We start from the raw sequence: 20,930 nt of genomic DNA, 5'->3' as shown, positions 1-20,930 counted from the left end.
TCATGATGAGAGTGAGAAAGGTACTTTTTTATATGAAATAAAACCTAGATTTAGTGTTACCTTGTGATTTAATTACACTCTTTATCAAGAGATCCACTATGGTTGCAAAAACAAAGAAAAGCACACAATGAAATTATACATTTGCTAACTTATTTGCTAGCTTTCAGGTACAAACTTACCTAAGTTTATATTTGAGAAATATAAAAACATCTCTAATATTCATGATGGCAAGTTGTGAATTATCTGTTGACTTATGGTACCAGAATTGCAAGTGTAAGTTCACTAGGATAACAGAAAACAATTTACTGGACTCTGTCATTATAGACCTGTAATGTATTCCTTTTAACTGCAAAATACCTGAGCCACTACAGACTGCTACCAGTTGTACTGATGGCTTTCCATCTCTTACTCAGCATTTCTTCCCTCCAGAAGCTACAGGTCCAAGTCACTGTCTCAGATCTCAATAAATAATAATTTATAATACCAGTATTATGCACAAAGCACTGAATTCATTCAACATTTTTTCCTTTTAGAAATTTCTACTGGGCTATCATCAAGGCTCCAGGCACTGTCTTGGTGCTGTATGGTTTGGCACCTCCCTTCAAAAGCTTGTAGCAAAGACAGACAACTAATTACAAGTGAAGTGGCACAAAACTGTTATTCTCCTTTAGTAACATTCACAGAATGGACATCATTGGAAGCAATTATCATGTCACAGAAAGCACACCAGGACTGAATCTAGGGTTTGGGTTTCAGGCTTCCTCTGCCTTGAGCAATTTACCTCAGCCATTTCATCTTCAGTTTTCTTATTTGCAGGACACAGTTGCTTGAAGTGACTGGAACTTAGATATTCAATGTATGCAAGTATGTTAACTTTCTTTTTTTTCCTTGAAGGGGCAAGTTTTCTTCAGAAGTTTAAGAAAAATAATTTTACTGAATATCTATTACATACTGGGCATTGATCATTTCCTTCTATACTCTGTCCCGAGGTGAATGAAAGAGTGTAGGGAAAAGCTGGGCTGTAAAGGGCATGGATGAGGCCATGATTCTGTCCCCGAGTTGACTTCTAGAAAGACTAAGTTTATCATGACTACTTGTACAGATACTGGAACATATGGCAGGAATTTGAATCCATCTGTGGTTTAGTTTATCTTTCTTATGTTCATGTTCTGCTTGTCCTACATTCCCTATCCCTTCAATTCATGATTTCAGTTTTGACTCATTACACTCTGTGGATTTATGATTTATATAAGCCCTCTCAATTCAATTTTATAATAAAGTGAGGTTTTTTTAAGTTTAATAAAGCAGCATTTTACTTGTGTGAAATTCTGCATTGGCAATAATTGTAACCTTCAATCAATCCATGGCTTTCTACTCTTCTATGATGTGCACCTAAAAATAAATACACACACACACACACACACACACACACACACACACACACACACTGAACTTGTGGTTAAACACAATGAACTGGCTATGCATTTCTGTCTTTACTGCCTCCCAAAGTGGCAGCATGAATTTAAGTCAATAACCCACAAGAGCAAAGAGACTCAGAAAAGAGAAAACAGTAGAAGAAAACATTGCACAAACTTTTGGAAGATGGAAAGTAGATGGAGGACTGGTACCTGACTGCAGAGAATGAAGGAAGTTTAAACTTCAAGACCTGCAAAGGGACACTAAGTAGCAAAGCATGCAAGTTTCCTTGGAAAATTCTCAGCATCTAGGGGCAACAGGTCCTATGGGTAGGGAAAGGTAGTAAGGAACATGGCTAGATATAGAGATTGGTTGAGAATCCAGAAAGCAGTTGGACAAGGATCTACCAGAAGTTTAAAAGAAGTTTCCAACTTAAAAGAGACCGAAGCCAAAAGGGAAAATTAAAGGAACTTGGAAGAAACAGAGACAATTCAGGAAGAAAAAAAAAACTATAATATTATAATATCCTCAGGGAGCTAAAACAATATATTGCAATCATAAAAAAGCAAAATACTATGAAAAGGGAACAGTCAGAAAGTAAATGTGGCAGATACAATTGAACATTATCAATCTCTTCTTCCTTCGTAATAGATGACCCATATTGTTGGAGGCAGTGACACACTCTGCTAAAAACTTTTTTTAGACTCCCTTACAGATAGGGTAACCAATGACAAGTAAGTAGAAATATTTAGGTGGGCTTTCAAGAAAGTTATCCTTTATGGCACTGCCAGAACTTCCATAAGGGTCTTGAACTTGATCTCCTTTAAGACCTGGACTAGCCACAAGCAGAGGATGCTTGACATCTTTTAGTCCCAGACAAGGTCAAATGTGGAGGCACTGGCCACATCATAAGCTTGTACCGCAAAATGACCCACCAAAAAAGCCATTTTCCCCAAAAGTGTTTCAGTTCTACGAAGTACAAGTACAGATATGGTTGCTGTAACTAAACTGAATAACGAGGCTGGGAGTGATGGCTCACGCCTGTAATCCCAGCACTTTGGGAGGCTGAGACAGGTGGATCGGCTGAGGCAGGTGGATCACCTGAGGTCAGGAGTTCAAGACCAGGCTGGTCAACAAAGTGAAACCCCGTCTCTACTAAAAATACAAAAATTAGCCAGGCATGGTGGCACGTGCCTGTAGTCCCAGCCACTCGGGAGGCTGAGGCAGGAGAATCACTTGAATCCTGGAGGCGGAAGTCACAGTGAGCTGAGATCATGGCACTGCACTCCAGTCTGGGTGACAAAGTGAGACTCTGTCTCAGAAAAAAAAAAAAAAAAGGAAACCACACTAAACTGAATAACGAAACATGAATTTTAAATAACTTGGTAATAATCAAGGAGCAAGAAACTCATCTGGAATTTATTAAGCCAAGTACATTAATTTCCTTACATAAAAAGCATTACTGTAAATTGTAGTGTGGCTGTCAACCACATTCTTTTACCAGAACTAAGGCCAAACTTCAAAAGTATCAGCTATTTGGCAAGTTATACCTTTCAAGACTTACAAGCATTTTCCAAGTCTAAAAATGTTTGCAAATTGGCTTTAAAACAGGCAGTTTTATAAATTTTATCCTTCGAATAAAACAAAATGCATTTCTTTTCTTCATGGAAACTATAAAAGCTTTTCTTTTCTAAAATAGCTCATTGGGCTCATTTTTAATAAGACATCAGAAAATGTTCTTCTTGGAAAGATCTTAAAGTTGACTCCTCCAAACTAAATACAGCAGAAGACCTAAATTAGTAAGATGACCCAAAGACATACAGGAAAAATACAAAAAGTAATTTAAAGAAAGAAAAGTACATAAAGAACAATTAATAGCTGAGACAAAGCCATAAACATTACTGTATAGAGACAAAAAAATCAATTTATTTGAAAAGAAGAAACTTAATACATGCAATCTATAAACCAATTCTAATCTGAAAATTCACATAGATAGTAGCTAAAAGTAAGGGAATTGAGTCCAAGAACATATGACCATGTTTTCGACAGTGCAATACACAGGAAATTTTTTTCCTTCAATATAAAACATTTCAGTCAAGTCAACTAGCCTTAGATTTTATTAGAAATCCACTGACAAGAAAGAATAGCAAAGAAGTGCAAACATGAGCACAAGGATCTCTGGGGAGAGCAGGATGAAGTATCATTAAGAAAAAAAAACGGGCCAGGTACAATGACTCACGCCTGTAATCCCAGCACTTTGGGAGGCTGAGGCGGGCAGATCTTGAGGTCAAGAGATCAAGACCATCCTGGCCAACATGGTGAAACCCTGTCTCTACTAAAAATACAAAAATTAGCTAGGCATGGTAGCGTGCACCTGTAGTCCCAGCTACTCAGGAGGCTGAGGCAGGAGAATCGCTTGAACCCAAGAGGTGGAGGTTGCAGTGAGCCTAGCTCACGCCACTGCACTCCAACCTGGCGACAGAGCGAGACTCCATCTCAAAAAAAAAGAAAAAGAAAAAAATGTGGCCAGGCACAGTAGTTCATGCCTGTAACCCCAGCACTTTGGGAGGCCAAAGTGGGAGGACTACTTGAGACCAGCCTGGGCAACATGGTAAAACCCCATCTCTACAAAAAACATAAAATTTTAAAAACAAAATATCTCCACTAAAGTATTGTGAACTAAAACCCTGGGGACATAAGAGATATTTTCCCCTATTTTGAAAGGAGAAATAATCTCAGAAGAATACTGAAGTGACCTCCCCAAACAATCTTCAGTGGATCAAGTGTTTCTAAAACAGAGCAGTGTACATCAACTTTAGTATTTTATATAGCAGATGATAATGAGTCTTTCAGATTGGTTGTCTCAGAATATAATTTCCTTAGATATTAAGGGCTTCTACCTCTAATATGTATCCAAGAAGGTAGGTAAGCTGACAGTAGGGAATGATTTTGTAAATACAAATAAATAGCATCTTTGAGAGAATGTTGATTTCTTGGATAGCTCTTCTGACCTCTTCCTTCATGGAGTACCTGCCCCTCTACACTAAAACTTTACCAAGCTTGGTTTGGCTCCCACACCAACACTCCAAATCTATACTTTCAACAAATCTATACTTTCAACACGTGATAGATTACTCTGTTGCCAAGTTTAATGGTCTTACTCCCATTTTCTTTTCCCTTGATCACTTCTAGTCCGGAACACTATTCATAATCCTACTCTCTCTACTTATCTTTCATAAAATCAGTGCTTCCCTTAAGATCTCTAACACATTCCTAGTTTTCTACTAGCTTTTTGACCATCACCGCCCCTTTCTCTTCCTGTCCTCCTAACAGAAGACATTTTCCAAAGTTCAATCCTTAATCCTCTGATATGCAATATGGTCATTCCCCTCCACTGACCCATTCTGTAAAACAGATTCTAACATCATCTGATGGGACATTTTTAAAAAATCAAAATCGATATCCAGTATTTGGTCTTAGGTCTTGTAATTCTTACTACCTTCAGATCAGCACCTTCCATACTAAGTAGACTACTAGCTTCACTGTCCTGCCCACAGAACAATTCAACGAATCCTTGCTCATGCCCACACCACCCCTACCCAACTTGAAAGACTTCCATGTTACCTCCCACGCATCAACTTTCTGATTCAGGTCAAGAAGGACCTTCTCTAATAGTTCCCAAATGCTTTTCCCATTCTCAAGCTTCCTGTAGCTTTGCTGTCCACCATGTCTGCACTTATTCCTATGCTGCCCCATAGCTGTTTCCTCCCTGACAGGACAAGTACCCAGAAGGTACTTCACACCAAGTAAAACAGGAGAAAAACCCAGAGGGCAATGAAGGAAATGTTTTGAGAGGGAAGTTATCACCATCTCTTTCTGATGCTTTTGATAGATTGACAAGTGCTCTATTGTTCCCTTCCTCACCACACACACTGTCTCTAAGGCCCTGTCCCATCCCAACACAAGAAAGTTATTTAATAGTATCTACTTACACTTCCGTGTGAATTTACACTACATGCCATATTAAGTCCAATCACTTTTCTATGCTTTTTAACATTGTGAAACAAGAAAATGAGTAAGACGGAGGCAGATATATGGAACAGCCAATAGCACAACAGGATGTGTACATGCCAAACAACAGGCAGGGCTATGTAAGGGAGGGTGAGAAACAGAGGAAGATGAATGAAGGGGTTGAGAGCTTGATTTTTCTATGAGACAGATCTAAGTTCAAATACTGGGCCTGCCGGCTTCAGCTGCATGGTGTTGGGAAGAAACTTAACTTCTCTGAACCTCTCTTTTCTCATCTGCAAAAATACATATATTATATAAAATGATTTTTAAAAATAATAATACCTTTTAATTCAAGTAACAGCTAGAAACAATCATAAAAAACAAGTTAGGCTGGGAGCAGTGGCCCACGCCTGCAATCCCAACACTTTCAGACACCAAAGTGGGAGGATCGCTGAAGGCCAGGAGTTCAAGACCATCCTAGGCAACATGGCAAGACCCTGTCTCTACAAAAAAATTTTAAAAATTAACAAAGTGTGGTGGTGCACCGATAGCCCCAGCTACTCAGGAGGCTCAGACAGGAGGATCAGTTGAGCCCAGGAATTCAAGCCTGTAGTCAGCTATGATTGCTGCACCACTATACTCCAGCCTGGGTGGAGACCCTGTCTCAAAAAAAAAAAAAAAAAAGAAAGAAAAGAAAACAAGAGAAAATCAGTTTGGACAAAATCAGATCAGGAGCTTCAGCTTCCCTTTTCCCTTCACTTCTGAACAAAATCCTTTTGAAAGCCTCCACCCTCAGTTTTGTGTGCCATTTCAGAATAATTCCATTAAAAAACTGGTATAAAGTGCAACCCTTTCAAAGCATGAGATGGGCCTCTGATGTTTAAGTTGAAGCAGATGATAGAAACTTTCCTGTTCTCAATAAAGTTTCTATTTTTTTTTATTTCTAAACAGGGTAAAGCTATTTTCTGCTTCTCTGTCTCCAATTATGAATACAGACCATGCTCAAACTGCAGGACACAACTCAATCAGTGAGTTGTGAAATCTTTTTCATGAATAACACCCCAAAGTTTCATGATGATGTATTATCCCCTGGCACAGGGTATTCAGCTGAAAAGGCTCATCTTCAAATTTGCTTGGACTTTCTTTTATGATACTTGCTTACTTTCAGGCTTCTTTAGAATTGGTTAAATAAAGTAAATTTGGCATGGTTTAAAGTTGCTTTTTTCAAAAAAACATGTTCAAAACTTGCTCAGTCTAGAACAGAACTTGAAAAAGCAGGGGAAAACCCAACTAATACAACAAAACCAACATCTCTTGTTGAGTGAAGCATAACCAAGAAGTTAGTCATGTCACAGGGCTAAAAAGATTTCAAGTATAAAGAATTAAAAGGTATTTGTTCATTCATCCACTTACTTTTCCCAGGAATATTTATTGAGTGTCTAGTAAATACTTGGCACTATTCACGACTTGAAAACAAAATAAGTCCTTGTACATAAGGCACTTATATTCTAGCGGAAATAGCGGAATAAACAAAAACAAATACACATAGACACACACACACACACACACCTATGTATATAATGCAGAGGCAAGTGATAATAAATGCAATGAAATCTGAGTATGGAGTGACAAGGGAAGATAATGGCAGTAGGAAAGAAGAGGAGGTATCATTTAAGCTAAGACGTAAGTAAATGAAGAAAATGTATTCATGCAGATGGAACAGCAACACAAAGACCTTAAGATAAAACCCAGGCCAGGCATGGTGGCTCACACCTGTAATCCCAGCACTTTGGGAGGCTGAGGCACACATATCACCTGAGGTCGAGAGTTAGAGACCAGCCTGATCAACATGAAAAAACCCTGTCTCTACTAAAAATACAAAAAATCAGCCGGGTGTGGTGGCACATGCCTGTAATCCCAGCTACTTGGGAGGCTGAGGCAGGAGAATCGCTTGAACCTGGGAGGTGGAGGTTGCCATGAGCCGAGATCGTGCCATTGCACTCCACCTTGGGCAACAAGAGTGAAACTCCATCTCAAAAATTAAAAAAAAAAAAAAAAAAGTTCTCTCTACATCTGAGTAACAGCTGGAAGCCAGTATGAGCACAGTAAGCAAGTCGAAGAGTGGGGGTGGAGATGAGATAGGCAAGCCGGGAACAGATCATATGGGGCCCTAGAGACTGCCTTAAAAATTCAGACTTTATTCTTAATGTAATGGAAAGCCATTGTCAGGGGAGGAGGGCGCAGAGTCGGATGTATAATCTCTGACTTACACTTTTAAAGAGGAATCTTGCTGCTATTTTGGAAGCAAGGAGTCCAGGCTACTGCAACAGCATAGGTGAAAGGTGATGGTGGATGTGGCAAGAGGTGGTCAGATTCTGGATCCATTTGAAGATATAGCCTGTTGGATTTCTTCACAGATTGGATGTGTGGTATGATGTTAAAAAAGAACAAGAGTCAATAATGACTTCAAATTTGGAAGCCTGAGCAACTGGCTGAACAATGATGCCATTTGCTAAGATAGAAACATTGGAGAGATGAGGAGATGATTAGGAAGGGGTGGGAAAGGGGTAGTACTAAGAGTTTTGCTTAGAACCCACTGAGCGTGACATGCTTATCAGACCTACAGTGGGAAATCTCAAGTAGTTACTAAAATTTAGGGACAAGGTCAGGGTCAGGAATGTAAATATGGAAGCAATCAGCGTGGAGAAGATATATGAACTTGATAACATCTGCTAGAAAGATACTGTAGGCAAAGAAAAGAAGACATGGAAGATGAGTCCTTGGATGTTCTAACATTCACTGATGAACAATAATTAGGAGGACTGAGCACAGAAAAATTAGAAACACCAAGTGAAATGGAAGAAAAACCTAGAGGGCAATGAAGGGTTTGAGAAGGAAGTCATCACCAACTCTATCTGATGCTTTTGATAGACTGACAATATTTTCTTCATAACACAGGGTAAATTCCAAATGCATTTGATACTGGTCCAGAGGCAATACGTTTGCTTATTGTCCCCTTCTTCATGTAAAATGAAAAACATTAAAACATTAAATCTCATGAGAAAAACTAATTCCACAATGAACTTCCTTTATTTATTTAATTTTATTTATTTATTTATTTTTGAGATAGGGTCTCGCTCTGTCATACAGGCTAGAGTGCAGTGGTACAATCATAGCTCACCGCAGCCTCAAACTTCTGGGTCAAGCCAGAATGAAAGTTTATAATGAGACTGGCAATGACCTCCCTTCCTTTGAATGTTATGAAATGGTGGTATAACAAAATAACTCAGATATTTCTTTCCCTGTTCACACATCTAGATCAAATTTCAATCTAGTCAAGGAGGCAAAAAAATTTTATCAGGGTCCCAGCTTTGGTACTAACAAGCCTAAAACACTAACTAAAAAGTATCCTAATCAAAAACATGACATGTATTTTTGAAGCACTATACAATAACCATCTGTACAATTTCTGGTATGCACGAACTACAGAAATGTAGGTCACATGAGAGAAGATGATACTTTTATAAATTATAGAAGAAACTACTTAGATATCTATTTCCTATTCTAGCTCAAAGTATAACTCAATGTTATATTAAAATGTTTCCTTTTTTAACACTTTAAATGGTTTATTGAACATTAACAATCACTAACATACATTCAAATATATAAACCTAAAGTCGGCAATTGCTCAACAGTGTCCATCTGGCTGGGCATGGTGGCTCACACCTGTAATCCCAACAGGTTGGGAGGCCAAGGTGGGAGGATCGCTTGAAGCCAGGAGTTCAAGGCCAGCTTAGGAAACAAAGCGAGACCTTGTCCCTACAACAAAATTTTTAAATTATCTGGGTGTGGTGGTGTGTGCCTATAGTCTCCCAGCTGTTCCAGAGGCTGAGGCAGGAAGACAGCTTGAGCACGGGAGTTCAAGGCTGCAGTGAGCTATGATCATACCACTGCACTCCAGCCTGGGCAACAGAGCAAGACCCTGTCTCTAAAAAAGAAAAAAATATATCTGTTGGCAATTCTGTAACTTACATATATTTGATGATCATGTACTAATACGGCACTAACATCACAAGAAATAACTTGTGCTGGTGAGCGGAAGTTGTATAGGATTTGTCATGTACAAAAAATAGCTAATCTTACAGCTTTAGGTGGAACAAGGACGGAGAGCCCATTCTTTTCTGATTCTTAATTCCTTAACAATGATGAACTACCTGGCCAGCGCCACTCCCAGGCAGCAGAGTATAATGACTAAGATGGCAGGCTGTGGGCATTCGGATCCTCAGCCAGCATTTACTACTTCTAGTGTTTCCTTGAGTAAATTATTTTACCTCTCACCCCTCTTTTCCCTCATTGGAAAAGAACATCCTCAGTAAGAATAGTCCATTATAAGATATGTGGGTATAATGCACTTGCCACATGTCATGCATGTGGTAGAAATTCAAGAATACTAGCTGCTTTTATTGTCATTTTTTCAGCTTCTCTTAAAAAAAAAACACTTCACTAGCAGGTAACTCGCTATTCAAGTCAGCTCATGTAGTGTAGGGCACTGCTATATTCATAGAAAGATCTTCAGAATACTGAGTCAAAAGTCTCACTGTGACCAGTTATTACCAGTTCTGCCCTCTGAATCCATACAAAAATTTCCTAATCTCTCCTACATGACAATCCCCATTATGCTTGAAGACAGACAGAGGGTCAGGTGCTGTATACCAACATAAAAATGCACTCAAGCACCAAACTGAGCATTCTGTACCCAGTAATGAGAACCAGTCTTTGAGCATACTACTGGGGTATTTCATAATCTTTGGAAAGGCTGTTCATGGGACTGTGCTGTAATTCACCAGAGTAGAACTTGCTATTGTCCATCTCTTTAAGCAAAGCCACAGATTGAATGTGTTAAACCTCTGTTTCAAAGTTGTGCATATATGACAGCTATTATCCCTATTAAGAGCTTTGACTACATCAAACATGTTTTCAAAGATATACAACCAATAATTATTTAATACCTTCTGAAACTAAAGAGTTAAGTACAGGTATGCATAATTCCTCATTTCCTCAGGCTCTAACACATTTTTGATAGTTAACAGGCTTAAGGAGATCTGGAAACATCAATTAAATAGGCCAACCTTTTTATTGGACACAAAACATTCATTCATTCAACAAGTATTTGGGAACATTCTGTCAGGAACTCTGGGGAACAGGAACAACATAAACAACTCAATCAGCAGATGCTAACTAGAAGAACGAGTTCACCTGCAAGGTGTATTTCTTCCAAACTAAAAGGATTGGGCAAATATGTTGATGTCACTTTGCTTTTCTTAACTAGCATTCACAAAGCTAGTGTGTTTCTATAACTCAAATGCTGGTATGTTGAGAACCAGTCTTAACAGGAAGAGGGAAGGTGAAGGAGTGTTTAGTCTCAACAGCAGTCCCTCACTACCCAAAGCACTCTCGGCATCCAGAGAGAAAGAGAGCTAGAGCAATGCACCGAAAGACAAGAACCAACACAGATTGAATAAATCGGCATACTCCCTGGGGTCCAATCCAGGACACCATTCCTCTTTCTCTAAGCCTAGGAGAAGTTTTAAGGATTTGTGCTTTACAAATGGCTTAAGAAACACCAAGGTTTCAAGGCTTCTTCGCAAGGGCCAATTGTGACTTCATTGAACCTTTTGTGGCTTAAGAGGAAATAGAACCCTCCTTTTCTCAGCTTCATCCTTCCTCACTGGAGGAAACCCAATGGGTCATTTGTTACATAAATGTTTAATATCACTAATAATCTGAGAAAAAATAGGACAACATGTCTTTCATCTGTTCATTTAGAGGGAAAATACAAATAACAATTTCTAATTTGGGCCAGAATGTGGAGAAAATGGTGCCCTCAACCCCTGCTCATTCTGCAAACTGCCACAAAGGTTTTAGAGGGTATCTTTATAATGTGTATCAAGAACCGTTTTTTTCACCCAGTGGGTCCACTTCTCTAACTGGTTCAAGAATACTCTATTTATTTATTTATTTATTTACTTTTTAAAGATAGAGTCTTACTCTGTCACCCAGGCTGGAGTGCAGTGGCACAGTTACGGCTCACCACAACCTCAACTGCCCAGACTCAGGCGATCCTCCCACCTCAGCCTCCCAAGCAGCCAAGAATGCAGGTGTGTGCCACCTTTTTTTTTTTTTTTTTTTTTTTGGTAGAGATGGGGTCTTGCTATGTTGACTAGGCTGGTCTTAAATTCCTGGCCTCAAGCCATCCTCCCTCCTTAGCCTCCCAAAGTGCTGGGATTACAGGCATGAGCCACCATGTCTGGCTGACACCCTGTTTTACTAAAGGTACAAGTTCTTTGTATTTTTCCTCACTTTATGAAAGAAGTCCATTTCTAGCTTTCAGTGCATCAGTACGTTGGAAGAATCCAGAATGATTGACACTGCACTGGAACCCTCCCAGTTCCTCAGGAAATACTTTGACATATCTGTTTACACTTCCTGGAGTCAGGCTATTCTAACGGCATTCCTGCCCTGGTTCCTATTTGTGTAAATCAGTTCCTTCCCAAGAGGACTTCATTAATTCCCTCATCTCTTGCCACCCCTCTCTTTTCTAGGATCCTTTCTTATTTCCCATATAAAGATGCTGTGTTCAAGAAATTATAAAACACTGCATAAAGAAAAAAATGGGGCCGGGTGTGGTGGCTCACGCCCTGTAATCCCAGCACTTTAGGAGGCCAAGGCTGGCAGATCACTTGAGGCCAGGAGTTTGAGACCAGCCTGAGCAATACAGTGAAACCCTGTCTCTACCAAAAAAAAAAAAAAGAAATACAAAAGTTAGCCAGGCATGGTGGTACACTCCCAGCTACTCGGGAGGCTGAGACAGGAGAATCACTTAAATCCAGGAGGCGAAGGTTGCAGTGAGCCAAGATCACAGCACTGCACTCCAGCCTGGGCAACAGAGTGAGTTCCTGTCTCAGAAAACAAAAGTAAAAGAAAAAGTGAGAGGAAAAAAGAAACAAATAGGCATTAAGACATTTCTTGGCCATTCAAACCTACCTTGAGAAATCCATAGTACTAGAAATCAAAGAGTGGATGCTTACCAAAGAAATGGAGATTAATGTGCTCTCTGGAAGGAACTCTCTTGAGTGATAAAAAGCATTCTGTATCTTGATTGGGTTCTGGTGACTTGGGCATATAGGTCTGACAAAACTCCTACAATGGTATACTTAAAATCAGTGCATTTCACTGCAGGTAAAACGTTACCTCAGTAAGGTACTTCAGTAAGAATAAATTACTCTGAGCAACTTCTGGAAGCTATGCTGTCTGCAACTTCAAGATTTCACACACGACAAGTTAAAAAAGGCCAAAATGTTCCAGCCTAGTGGGCAGATGGGTTAACCCCACTGCAGCCTCGGCTCAAATGCTGCCTTCTCTGTGTGCTTGCCCTGACTGACCAGGTGGACTCAGGCTGCCTCCTCAATGCCATCACGATGCACCGGATGAACTTCAGTACCTGATGGCACTGCTGGGTTTGTCTGCACATCTGCTTTTCATGGAGGCTGCCTCTCTTTGAAGGTCCAGGTAAGGGCTAAGAATTTGGTGACTGAATCTATAAACCCGTCAAGTTTCTGGCACACAGTAGGCACATAGTAGGTATTTTTGAGATGACTAAATGTAAGTCCCCATGAGGGAAATCATCAAGTGGACGGCAGTAGAGTAAGGTGACTCGGGAAGAGGGTTGAGGCAGAAGAGGAAATGCTAAGTAAATAAACAAGTACACACTGGCATGCAGATGAAGACACATCCTGTAGCAGGTTCCAACCAAACAACTGCAACCAATAAAGCTTAAGACACTGAAGCAAGTTTCTGCTGGAAGAAGAAATGAGTTCTGGTCCTTAAAATCCTATTTTTTAATGTTGTTAAAGCTATAACTTTATTTGTACTTTTATTCAACAAGCATTTAGCAGGCACCATGCCAAACACTCAAGCAATAAATAAGATACGATTCCTGCCCTCAGTTAGCTCATAGACTAATATAGAAAAACGAATAGAACCACACAATGCAAAAAGAGAGATTTATGTAAGACAGGAGAGAAAGGAATGGGTGGGGCTGGAGGTTTGGCGATTTTGGGAAGGCTTCACATAAAGGTTGATTTTAGCTCAAGTATGGAAGAATGAAGAGGTGTTCACTAGGTTACAAGGAATAACAAGTATTCCATTCATACGAAAACATGGAGGTGACAAAACTGCATTCTGTGCAAGGAGAAACACAAGCAATGGATTAGGGAGCATTTGTTGCTCTACCATCAGCATCCATTTAACTGGTACAACTACCAGGGGAGATTAAGAGGAAAAAACTGAGACCTACAGGATTTAAATAGCAGAGCCCAGGCCAGGTGCGGTGGCTCACACCTGTAATCACTATGGTAAATCTTTGTTAAAAATTGTATTACAAAGCAATTCTTATGCTAGCTGCTGCAGCTAGCATAAGAATTGCTTTGTAACACTACAATTTTTAACAAATATTTACCATAGTGTCTTAATATCTGTTGATTGAAATTATATATAATTACTAAAAATACTTCCATTAGCACCAAAGGCAAAAAAGTTAAAAGGTGGTGAACAGCACATCCCCGAAGGATAAAACTTGGGGCAGGTGGAGAAACAGACCAATTAGAAGTGAGGAAGGACTCATATTCTAGTGCCAGACTTGGCAATGAGCTCAGGTTGGCATCCCTTACAGGGTGACAGCAATACTGAAAAAATCCAATCCAGAGATAACAGGAAGGGCAGGTGAGCAGAAAGGTGGTGAATTAAGTTAGCCTGTTCTGCTCCAGCCATAAAAATTACTATTGTATTTGAACCTCAATCTAGAGAGCAACATTAACTTACAGACTAAAAAACTGACCAACCAATGCAAAGTGCTACATACCCCAGTTTCAATCTCATTAGTATTTTGTCTGTTTACCACATGGCTTTCGGATGACCCACAACAGAGAGACAAAGGCAACTATTAGGCATAGAAAATTAAAAGGTACTGCAGAAGAGGCCTAAAATTAGAGTCCAGGCTGTATTTTCCACCACTTCATCAGCCACTGCGTAGCCTTGCTAGAATCAAGCTTCTCCTCTGCCTTTGCCTTGAAACCATTACTTGGTTTTAAACCAGTGTTTAATCATAAACCAGCCCTGCTACATTATTAATGTATCAAACAGCCTTTCCAACTATGTAATAATCCAATATCATTATGTTGAGCGATCTTAAAGGGTAGCTTTCCTACATTTGCTTTGAATTGCAAAATTAGCATGAGTAGACACACCAATTTTTATATATACTCAAGTATATAAGTACAATTTGAAATAAGTAAAAACAAGATTCATAAAGTGATCATAATTGGCAGAATAATAACCACTAGCTCTTACCTCACTCTTCCTCCTCCACTCTAAAAAATAAACTTTGGTTGTGAGAATAACACATTAGCTACTAAAAATCACAGATAGAAAATGGAAATGACAAGGAGATGCTGACATGGAGTCCAGTCATCATTCAAAACTTTACAAGGTTATTGGAGTTGACTTTGGGGTATTCAAAGCTGCAGTTGCGAATATATATGTAATACAGATAGAACATATATTATAATACATATGTATATATGTACATACATATACAATATATACACTTAAAAACCCTCCTATATTTCAGTAATGTGTAAAGGAATAGGGCAAAATGTAGCAAGACTATCAGCAAGCAGGGGAAAGAATACTTTACAAATACACATTGGAATCAACCTTTTATCTTCAGATTAGGGGTTCTTAAAGAGGTTGTGATGATGACAGAGTCATTCATCCTGCTTCTTTTGGCAAGAACAATATTTTAAAATATGTGCTTTGGTGGCAAAGGCAAAGCTGACAAGAGAGATAGATGTGGACACTGGAGAAACAAAATAGCCCTAACAGTGAGCACACTGTGGTCATTTCAAATGCCCAGAGTATACTAAAAGTATCTGAACATGTAAATTACTCATATATACACAATGAAGGCAAACATACTGCCTTGTTCCAAGTGGGATGAAAAAAAATTTTAATTTCATTAACTATATTAAAAGGATATGACAGTACCTTTAGGAAGATCCAGCTCTCTGCTAACGATGAACAAAATACATTATAGAGGTGCCAAATCATTGCTGATAAACACCTTTACATAGACTGCGATGAGAGTGAAAACAGACCACATGTAATATGCGCAATGATATCTTTTATCACAATACACTTTCCCCCCATTCATTACATACAAATTTCTTGGAGAAAACCTACATAATTATGAGCAAGCAGGGACAAAAAAGGAATTCATCGTTTTCCAAAATGTGCATACTAAAAAAAAAGGGAAGGGTGTGGAATCATTCCTATTCATGTTTCCTGAAGCAAATACAAAGCACGCAGATGCAAACTCCACACAGAAGCCATGTATGACCAAAACATGTCCCCACGTCTCCCCTTCTCCCTCCTTCAATCCCCAACACTCAAACACAAAATGGCAAGTTTGTTTTCTAAAATTATGCAGAACACACACTGCTAATGGAAAATTACAGTTGGAAGTCTTGGCTTTTCAAAGTTTATGAATGAGGGAAGTTATTTCTCTTAACTATATTGCTGGAATTTTTCCACTCTCATTTCAATTCAAAATACAGCGTTTATTCTTCTCTCAACTTCCCATGCCCCTCCCTTCACATCTTTCTAAGTCACCTTCAGACCAGCTCAAAGTTTCAATCTAAAAAGACACTAAAAGCTCATTCCTTAGACCTCCCTACTGTCCCGTGGTTAATGCTACTCACATTTCACATTCCTTTATTTAGCGTAAGAAATGTAATTTATTCTTTCTTTCCACACACATACATGTATTTCTTTAAGGAAAAATACATTATTTTCAAGTATCGTTCGCTTTGGAATTCTTAAACATGTAGTTTTTTCCGTGGAATAATCTTTAAGCCTAATTCGAAGTTTTAAATATGTTAACTAAACCAGCACGTGGCATCAATAACTCCTAAATGACTGCAGGGCTTGTGCACGCCTCAATTTTCAGCAGTTGTTCCTGATTCACATCTGCTTGGAAGACTTTTGCCTCGTTTTAAAAGTCATCTTTTGCGTCCAGTGGAATAACGGCTAGAAGTCCTGATGTTAACCTTCTACAGATAAATGTAGCCCCAAGGCGTTAATGAAGAGACCCGCTCTTTTTCAGGGTGAAAGAAGGGAATGGAAGATCTTGTCTGTGAGGCACAGCTGGGAGGGTAACAGCTCTTCAGCGAATGATCCTAGGATCTCAGTCTCATCAAAGCCGAAAATGAAAAAGCACATGCCCCGGCCCCTACCCCCTGGGCTTGGATGCGGCCCCAGAGAAATCATCCTTCCAGGTGGGCCTTCGGTGTGTTACCTCCTCCACCTGCCCTCCCACCCACCCTTCTTTTCCGCTCCCCCCCTCCACACTGAATACACTGGCTTCTCAGGTATAAGGTGAGCATCCCCACTTCTAGGCACCCCGAGGGAATGCACCCGAGAGCCCTGGCCCAGCTCTGCACCGCGCGCTCTGGGCTGTGCCCCGCAGAGACGCCCCGGGCGAGCCAGGGCGGACTGCGCTGCTCCTCCGGGACGCGCGATGCCGGCAGGCGAACGCCCACCTCTGCCCTAGGAAGCCAGTGACACCGTCGGGGGGCGGGGGTTAGGGCAGCGCCAATCTAAGCGGGACATAAGATGCAGGAGCGGCAGAACCCGCAGAGTCCCCAAAAGTGCACAAGCAAACCAGCTTGTTCACGTCGGCTGGGTCGCCGAAGGAGGCTAAAGTGCAGAGTGACTGGGGCTGCAGTCACCTCGCGACGACCGCCCCGAGGCAGTCAACACCTGCGGAAGGGAAAGCAGTGAAAGGCACTCACCTCCACCCATCTCTGAGCCTCAGCGAACGCCACGGAGCAGTTGGCCTCTGCCTCCTCCAGCCCTTCCATGGCTAGGACAAGGGAGGGAGAGAGAGACTCGGGATGCGTGGAGGGGAGGGGTTGTCCCCGCGCGTCTGGGCCCCACGGGCGGGGAGGGCACGCGGGCCTCCCACAACTCCGGCTTCCGCTCCGGCTGCGAAGGCGCCGGGGCTCTAGTTCCCTTTGTTGCGCTCTGCAGTTCGTTAAGGTCTCGAACCTACACGAACGTGAAGACCTGGCTTTCTCTAAACTCCTGAAAGCGACCCAAGGCCCGCGGGGACCCGGGCAGTCAGGCAGGACGCGGGAAGCGAAGCGGGTGCCCAGCGGCAGCGCGCGGCACCAGCCCCGACGACAGTTTGGACTTCAAAAGTCGCAGCGCCGCCGCCGTCCTCCCCGCGGTGGCCCCGCCCCGGCCCACCCCACCGCCCTCCCGGGGCCCGCCGAGTCGCCGCTTCCGTCTGCCCCTCCCTTGGCTCCCCGGGCTCCCGGCCGCGGCCGCCTCTGTGGTCAGACTGTCTGGCCCGGGAGATGCCACAGTCCGCCAGGGGCCGCGGCCCGGGCCCCGCTGGGGTTCCCGCACAGCCCGCGGCTCCGCCCCGAGAGGATGCGCCCCCGCGCCCGCATCCTTCCCGCACCCGCCCGCCTGGCCCCTGCCCTCTCCCGGGCCCCTGAGAGCGGCGCCCCTCCCGGCTCGCGGCCGCCCGGCCCGCTTGACATACCAGAAATAGCTGCACACAATTGTACCTTTCCCGGCCAAGAAACCTCCCCCGCTGGGGAGCGCGGCCCGCCGCCCTCACCTGAGCCCCGGCCAGCTGAGCCCGCTACCCGCTCTCCCGCCGCGATCCGGCCCAGCCGCCAGGTGAGCGCCGTCCCCTCCCACGCTCCCCGCCCCCTGCGGCGGCCGGGCCCTCCCGGCGGCAGAGGAGGGTCGTGGCCTTGGCACGTGCTGCCGCTTCCCCCCGGCGGAGTTCGGCCCCGCTCCGCCCGGCTTCCAGGTGGGTGCGGTGGAAGGAGGGTCCCTGCCCCTCCACCCCGGCTCGCGGCTGAGGGTTCGAGCAAGCTGGAGGGTTCCTTGCATTCCCCACTTCCCGCCCGCTCAGCCCAGTTTAGGCCGTTTGATGATCGCCCTCGCGGTGAGCGTCAAAATTCCCACCCTTCGTGGTTTGAGGACACTCAGGGGACAGCGAGGTGGCAGGTTATGCGGTATCCGCCGCGGCCCTGGGTAGGTGTGCAGGGCCGGGGGGTTGGGGGCGGGGCGGGAGGCACACGGGTCGGCTTGCGCGGGTCTTTTTCACACCAGTGCTCAAATCAGGTCTCCACAAAGGAGCCTACTCATCTGTCTGAGCTCCCTGGTCCCTCACTCCACGCTCCTGAGGCACTATCCAGGCCACAGGTTGATGGCTTCATCTTTGGCGGAAGACAAAGACCGGTTCTTACTCTGCTGAAACGAAAGCAAACTCTTGTTCTTATTTTTCTGGTTGTTTTTATGAAGAAAAACGTCAGATACAGAGCAGAGACTAGTAGAATACTATCTAAAACCTAGCGTCTGTATTTAACAACTGTTTGCCTTTTGCCTTATGTATCACCTTTTCTGCTGGAGGGTTTTATTTTTTAATTTTTTAAATTGTATTTACTTTCTGTTTGTTTTTGTTTTGTTTTGTTTTGTTTTGTTTTGTTTTGTTTTGAGATGGAGTCTCACTGTTGCCGAGGCTGGAGTGCAGTAGCACCGTGTCGGCTCACTGCAACCTCCGTCTCCTGGGTTCAAGCAATTCTCTTGCCTTAGCCTCTCGAGCAGCTGGGATTACAGGCGCCCACCACCATGCCCAGCTAGTTTTTATATTTTTAGTAGAGACGGGGTTTCACCATATTGGCCAGGCTGGTCTCGAACTGACCTCAGGTGATCCACCCACCTCGGCCTCCCAAAGTTCTTGTTTGTTTGTTTGTTTTTGAGGAGTCTCGCTCTGTCGCCCAGGCTGGAGTGCAGTGGTGCAATCTCGGCTCACTGCAAGCTCCGCCTCCCGGGTCCACGCCATTCTCCTGCCTCAGCCTCTCGAGTAGCTGGGACTACAGGCGCCCGTCACCACGCCTGGCTAATTTTTTTGTATTTTTTTAGTAGAGACGAGGTTTCACCGTGTTAGCCAGGATGGTCTCGATGTCCTGACCTCGTGATCCGCCTGCCTCGTCCTCCCAAAGTGCTTTGATTACAGGCGTGAGCCACCGCCCCCAGCCGTTCTTGTTTGTTTTTTAAGTTTTTTAAGAGACAGCTCTGTTGCCTAGGCTGGAGTGCAGTTGCGCCATCATAGCTCCCCGTGACCTTGAACTCCTGGGCTCAAGCGATCCTCTTGCCTCAGACTCCCAAGTAGCTGCGACTACAGGCAAGTGACACCACACCCAGCTAATTTCTGTATTTTTTGTAGAGAGAGGGGTCTCACTATGTTGTCCAGGATGGTCTCAAACTCTGACCTCAAGCAGTCCTCCTGCCTTGGCCTCCCAAAGTGCTGAGCCTGGTGGAGAGTTTTAAAGATAGGAGATTTCACCCCTAAATGGTACAATATACATATCATTTTTAAAAGGACACTCTCCCACTTTGGGAGGCAGAGGCGGGTGGATCACAAGGTCAGGAGTTTGAGATCATCCTGGACAACATGGTGAAACCCTGTCTCTACTAAAAATCCAAAAAAAAAAAAAAATTAGCTGGACGTGGTGGCACTATTTGGGAGCCTGAGGCAGGAGAATCGCTTGAACCAGGGAGTCAGAGGGTGCAGTAAGCCAGGATCACACCACTGCACTCCAGCCTGGGGACAGAGCGAGACTCCGTCTCAAAAAAAAAAAAAAAAAAAAAAAAAGGAAAAGACACGTTCCTACATAAACATAAATAAACATAATGCTATTTTCACACCTAACTAAAACTAACAATAATTATCAACTCATATCAAATTCTTCCAACTGACCCAAAAATGTCTTTTACAGCTGACTTACTCAGACCAGGATCCAATCCATGACCACCCATTGCATTTTAGCACATCTTTTTTTAACCCAAAAGAGACTCCTCCTCCTCCACACTCCCCCTTTTTTTGGAATGACATTGCCTTATTGAAAAAACCAGGCTGTCTTCTGGATTTATCTTAGGCTTCTTTGTGGTGTCTTCAACATATTTCTCTTCTTTCTGTACTTCCTGTGCTCTGGAAGTTAGCTCTAAAAGCTAGATTGGAACCTATCTCTTCTGAGTAAACAGTTCACCACCCACATTCTTCCGTACTGGGGTGATGGTTTTTGTTTGTTAGGCTCATTTTTGTTCAACTACTTTTTATTGGCACTATCTCTAGTCTGTGGGTCCGTTTAGAAAAGCTGATGAGCAAGCTTCAGGAATACAACTGTTCCTGCTGAAAGGGAGGCCACTGACTGAACCATCTCTTTGCCTCTTGGCTGCACTCTGATCAGGCCAAACCCCAAAAGAAAATGGAATGATGAAAGAAAATGGAAAGATATTTCTCTCTTGTCGGCTATTCAAAAACTTTTAAGTGCGGCGAGGCACAGTGGCTCACACCTGTAATC

At 42.7% G+C, this 20,930-nt stretch overlaps 1 protein-coding gene and 1 long non-coding RNA gene across 8 annotated transcripts in view, besides 4 other annotated features; one reads left to right on the top strand and one right to left on the bottom strand.

The window, feature by feature from the left end:
* The window catches only part of LMO7 (LIM domain 7), a 239,437-nt gene that overhangs the window by 205,808 nt on the left and 12,699 nt on the right, over positions 1-20,930 (bottom strand). Inside the window, exon 1 of one of the 5 annotated variants that reach the window (XM_047430352.1) lies at positions 18,173-18,196. The exons of 3 other annotated variants lie outside the window; for them this stretch is intronic. Coding sequence is in view for 1 of the 2 variants with exons in the window: in NM_001306080.2 (NP_001293009.1) it covers positions 17,337-17,405 (69 nt within the window). In the remaining variant the exon portion in view is untranslated. Of the gene's footprint in view, positions 1-17,336; positions 17,734-18,172; positions 18,197-20,930 lie in introns of those variants that run through there. One more of the 5 variants, NM_001306080.2, reaches the window with a different exon arrangement.
* Positions 7,367-7,416: an enhancer, noted in NCBI's record as "active region_7834". NCBI's record gives its function as "activates an Ori minimal core promoter by ATAC-STARR-seq in GM12878 lymphoblastoid cells {active_cell/tissue: GM12878}" and the evidence as "EXISTENCE:reporter gene assay evidence [ECO:0000049][PMID:35858748]".
* Positions 17,361-17,500: a silencer, noted in NCBI's record as "silent region_5405". NCBI's record gives its function as "represses an Ori minimal core promoter by ATAC-STARR-seq in GM12878 lymphoblastoid cells {active_cell/tissue: GM12878}" and the evidence as "EXISTENCE:reporter gene assay evidence [ECO:0000049][PMID:35858748]".
* Positions 17,571-17,620: a silencer, noted in NCBI's record as "silent region_5404". NCBI's record gives its function as "represses an Ori minimal core promoter by ATAC-STARR-seq in GM12878 lymphoblastoid cells {active_cell/tissue: GM12878}" and the evidence as "EXISTENCE:reporter gene assay evidence [ECO:0000049][PMID:35858748]".
* Positions 17,651-18,340: a silencer, noted in NCBI's record as "silent region_5403". NCBI's record gives its function as "represses an Ori minimal core promoter by ATAC-STARR-seq in GM12878 lymphoblastoid cells {active_cell/tissue: GM12878}" and the evidence as "EXISTENCE:reporter gene assay evidence [ECO:0000049][PMID:35858748]".
* LMO7-AS1 (LMO7 antisense RNA 1) overlaps positions 18,069-20,930 on the top strand; it is a 31,295-nt gene continuing 28,433 nt past the window's right edge. For all 3 annotated transcript variants that reach the window (NR_120412.1, NR_120411.1, NR_120410.1), the window contains exon 1: positions 18,069-18,234. This is a non-coding gene — a long non-coding RNA (LMO7 antisense RNA 1). The remainder of the gene's footprint in view (positions 18,235-20,930) is intronic.

The sequence above is a fragment of the Homo sapiens genome, chromosome 13 (genome assembly GCF_000001405.40).
Source record: "Homo sapiens chromosome 13, GRCh38.p14 Primary Assembly".
In the NCBI taxonomy this organism is placed as follows: Eukaryota; Metazoa; Chordata; class Mammalia; order Primates; family Hominidae; genus Homo; species Homo sapiens.
This window is presented reverse-complemented; position numbering and strand designations above follow the sequence as displayed.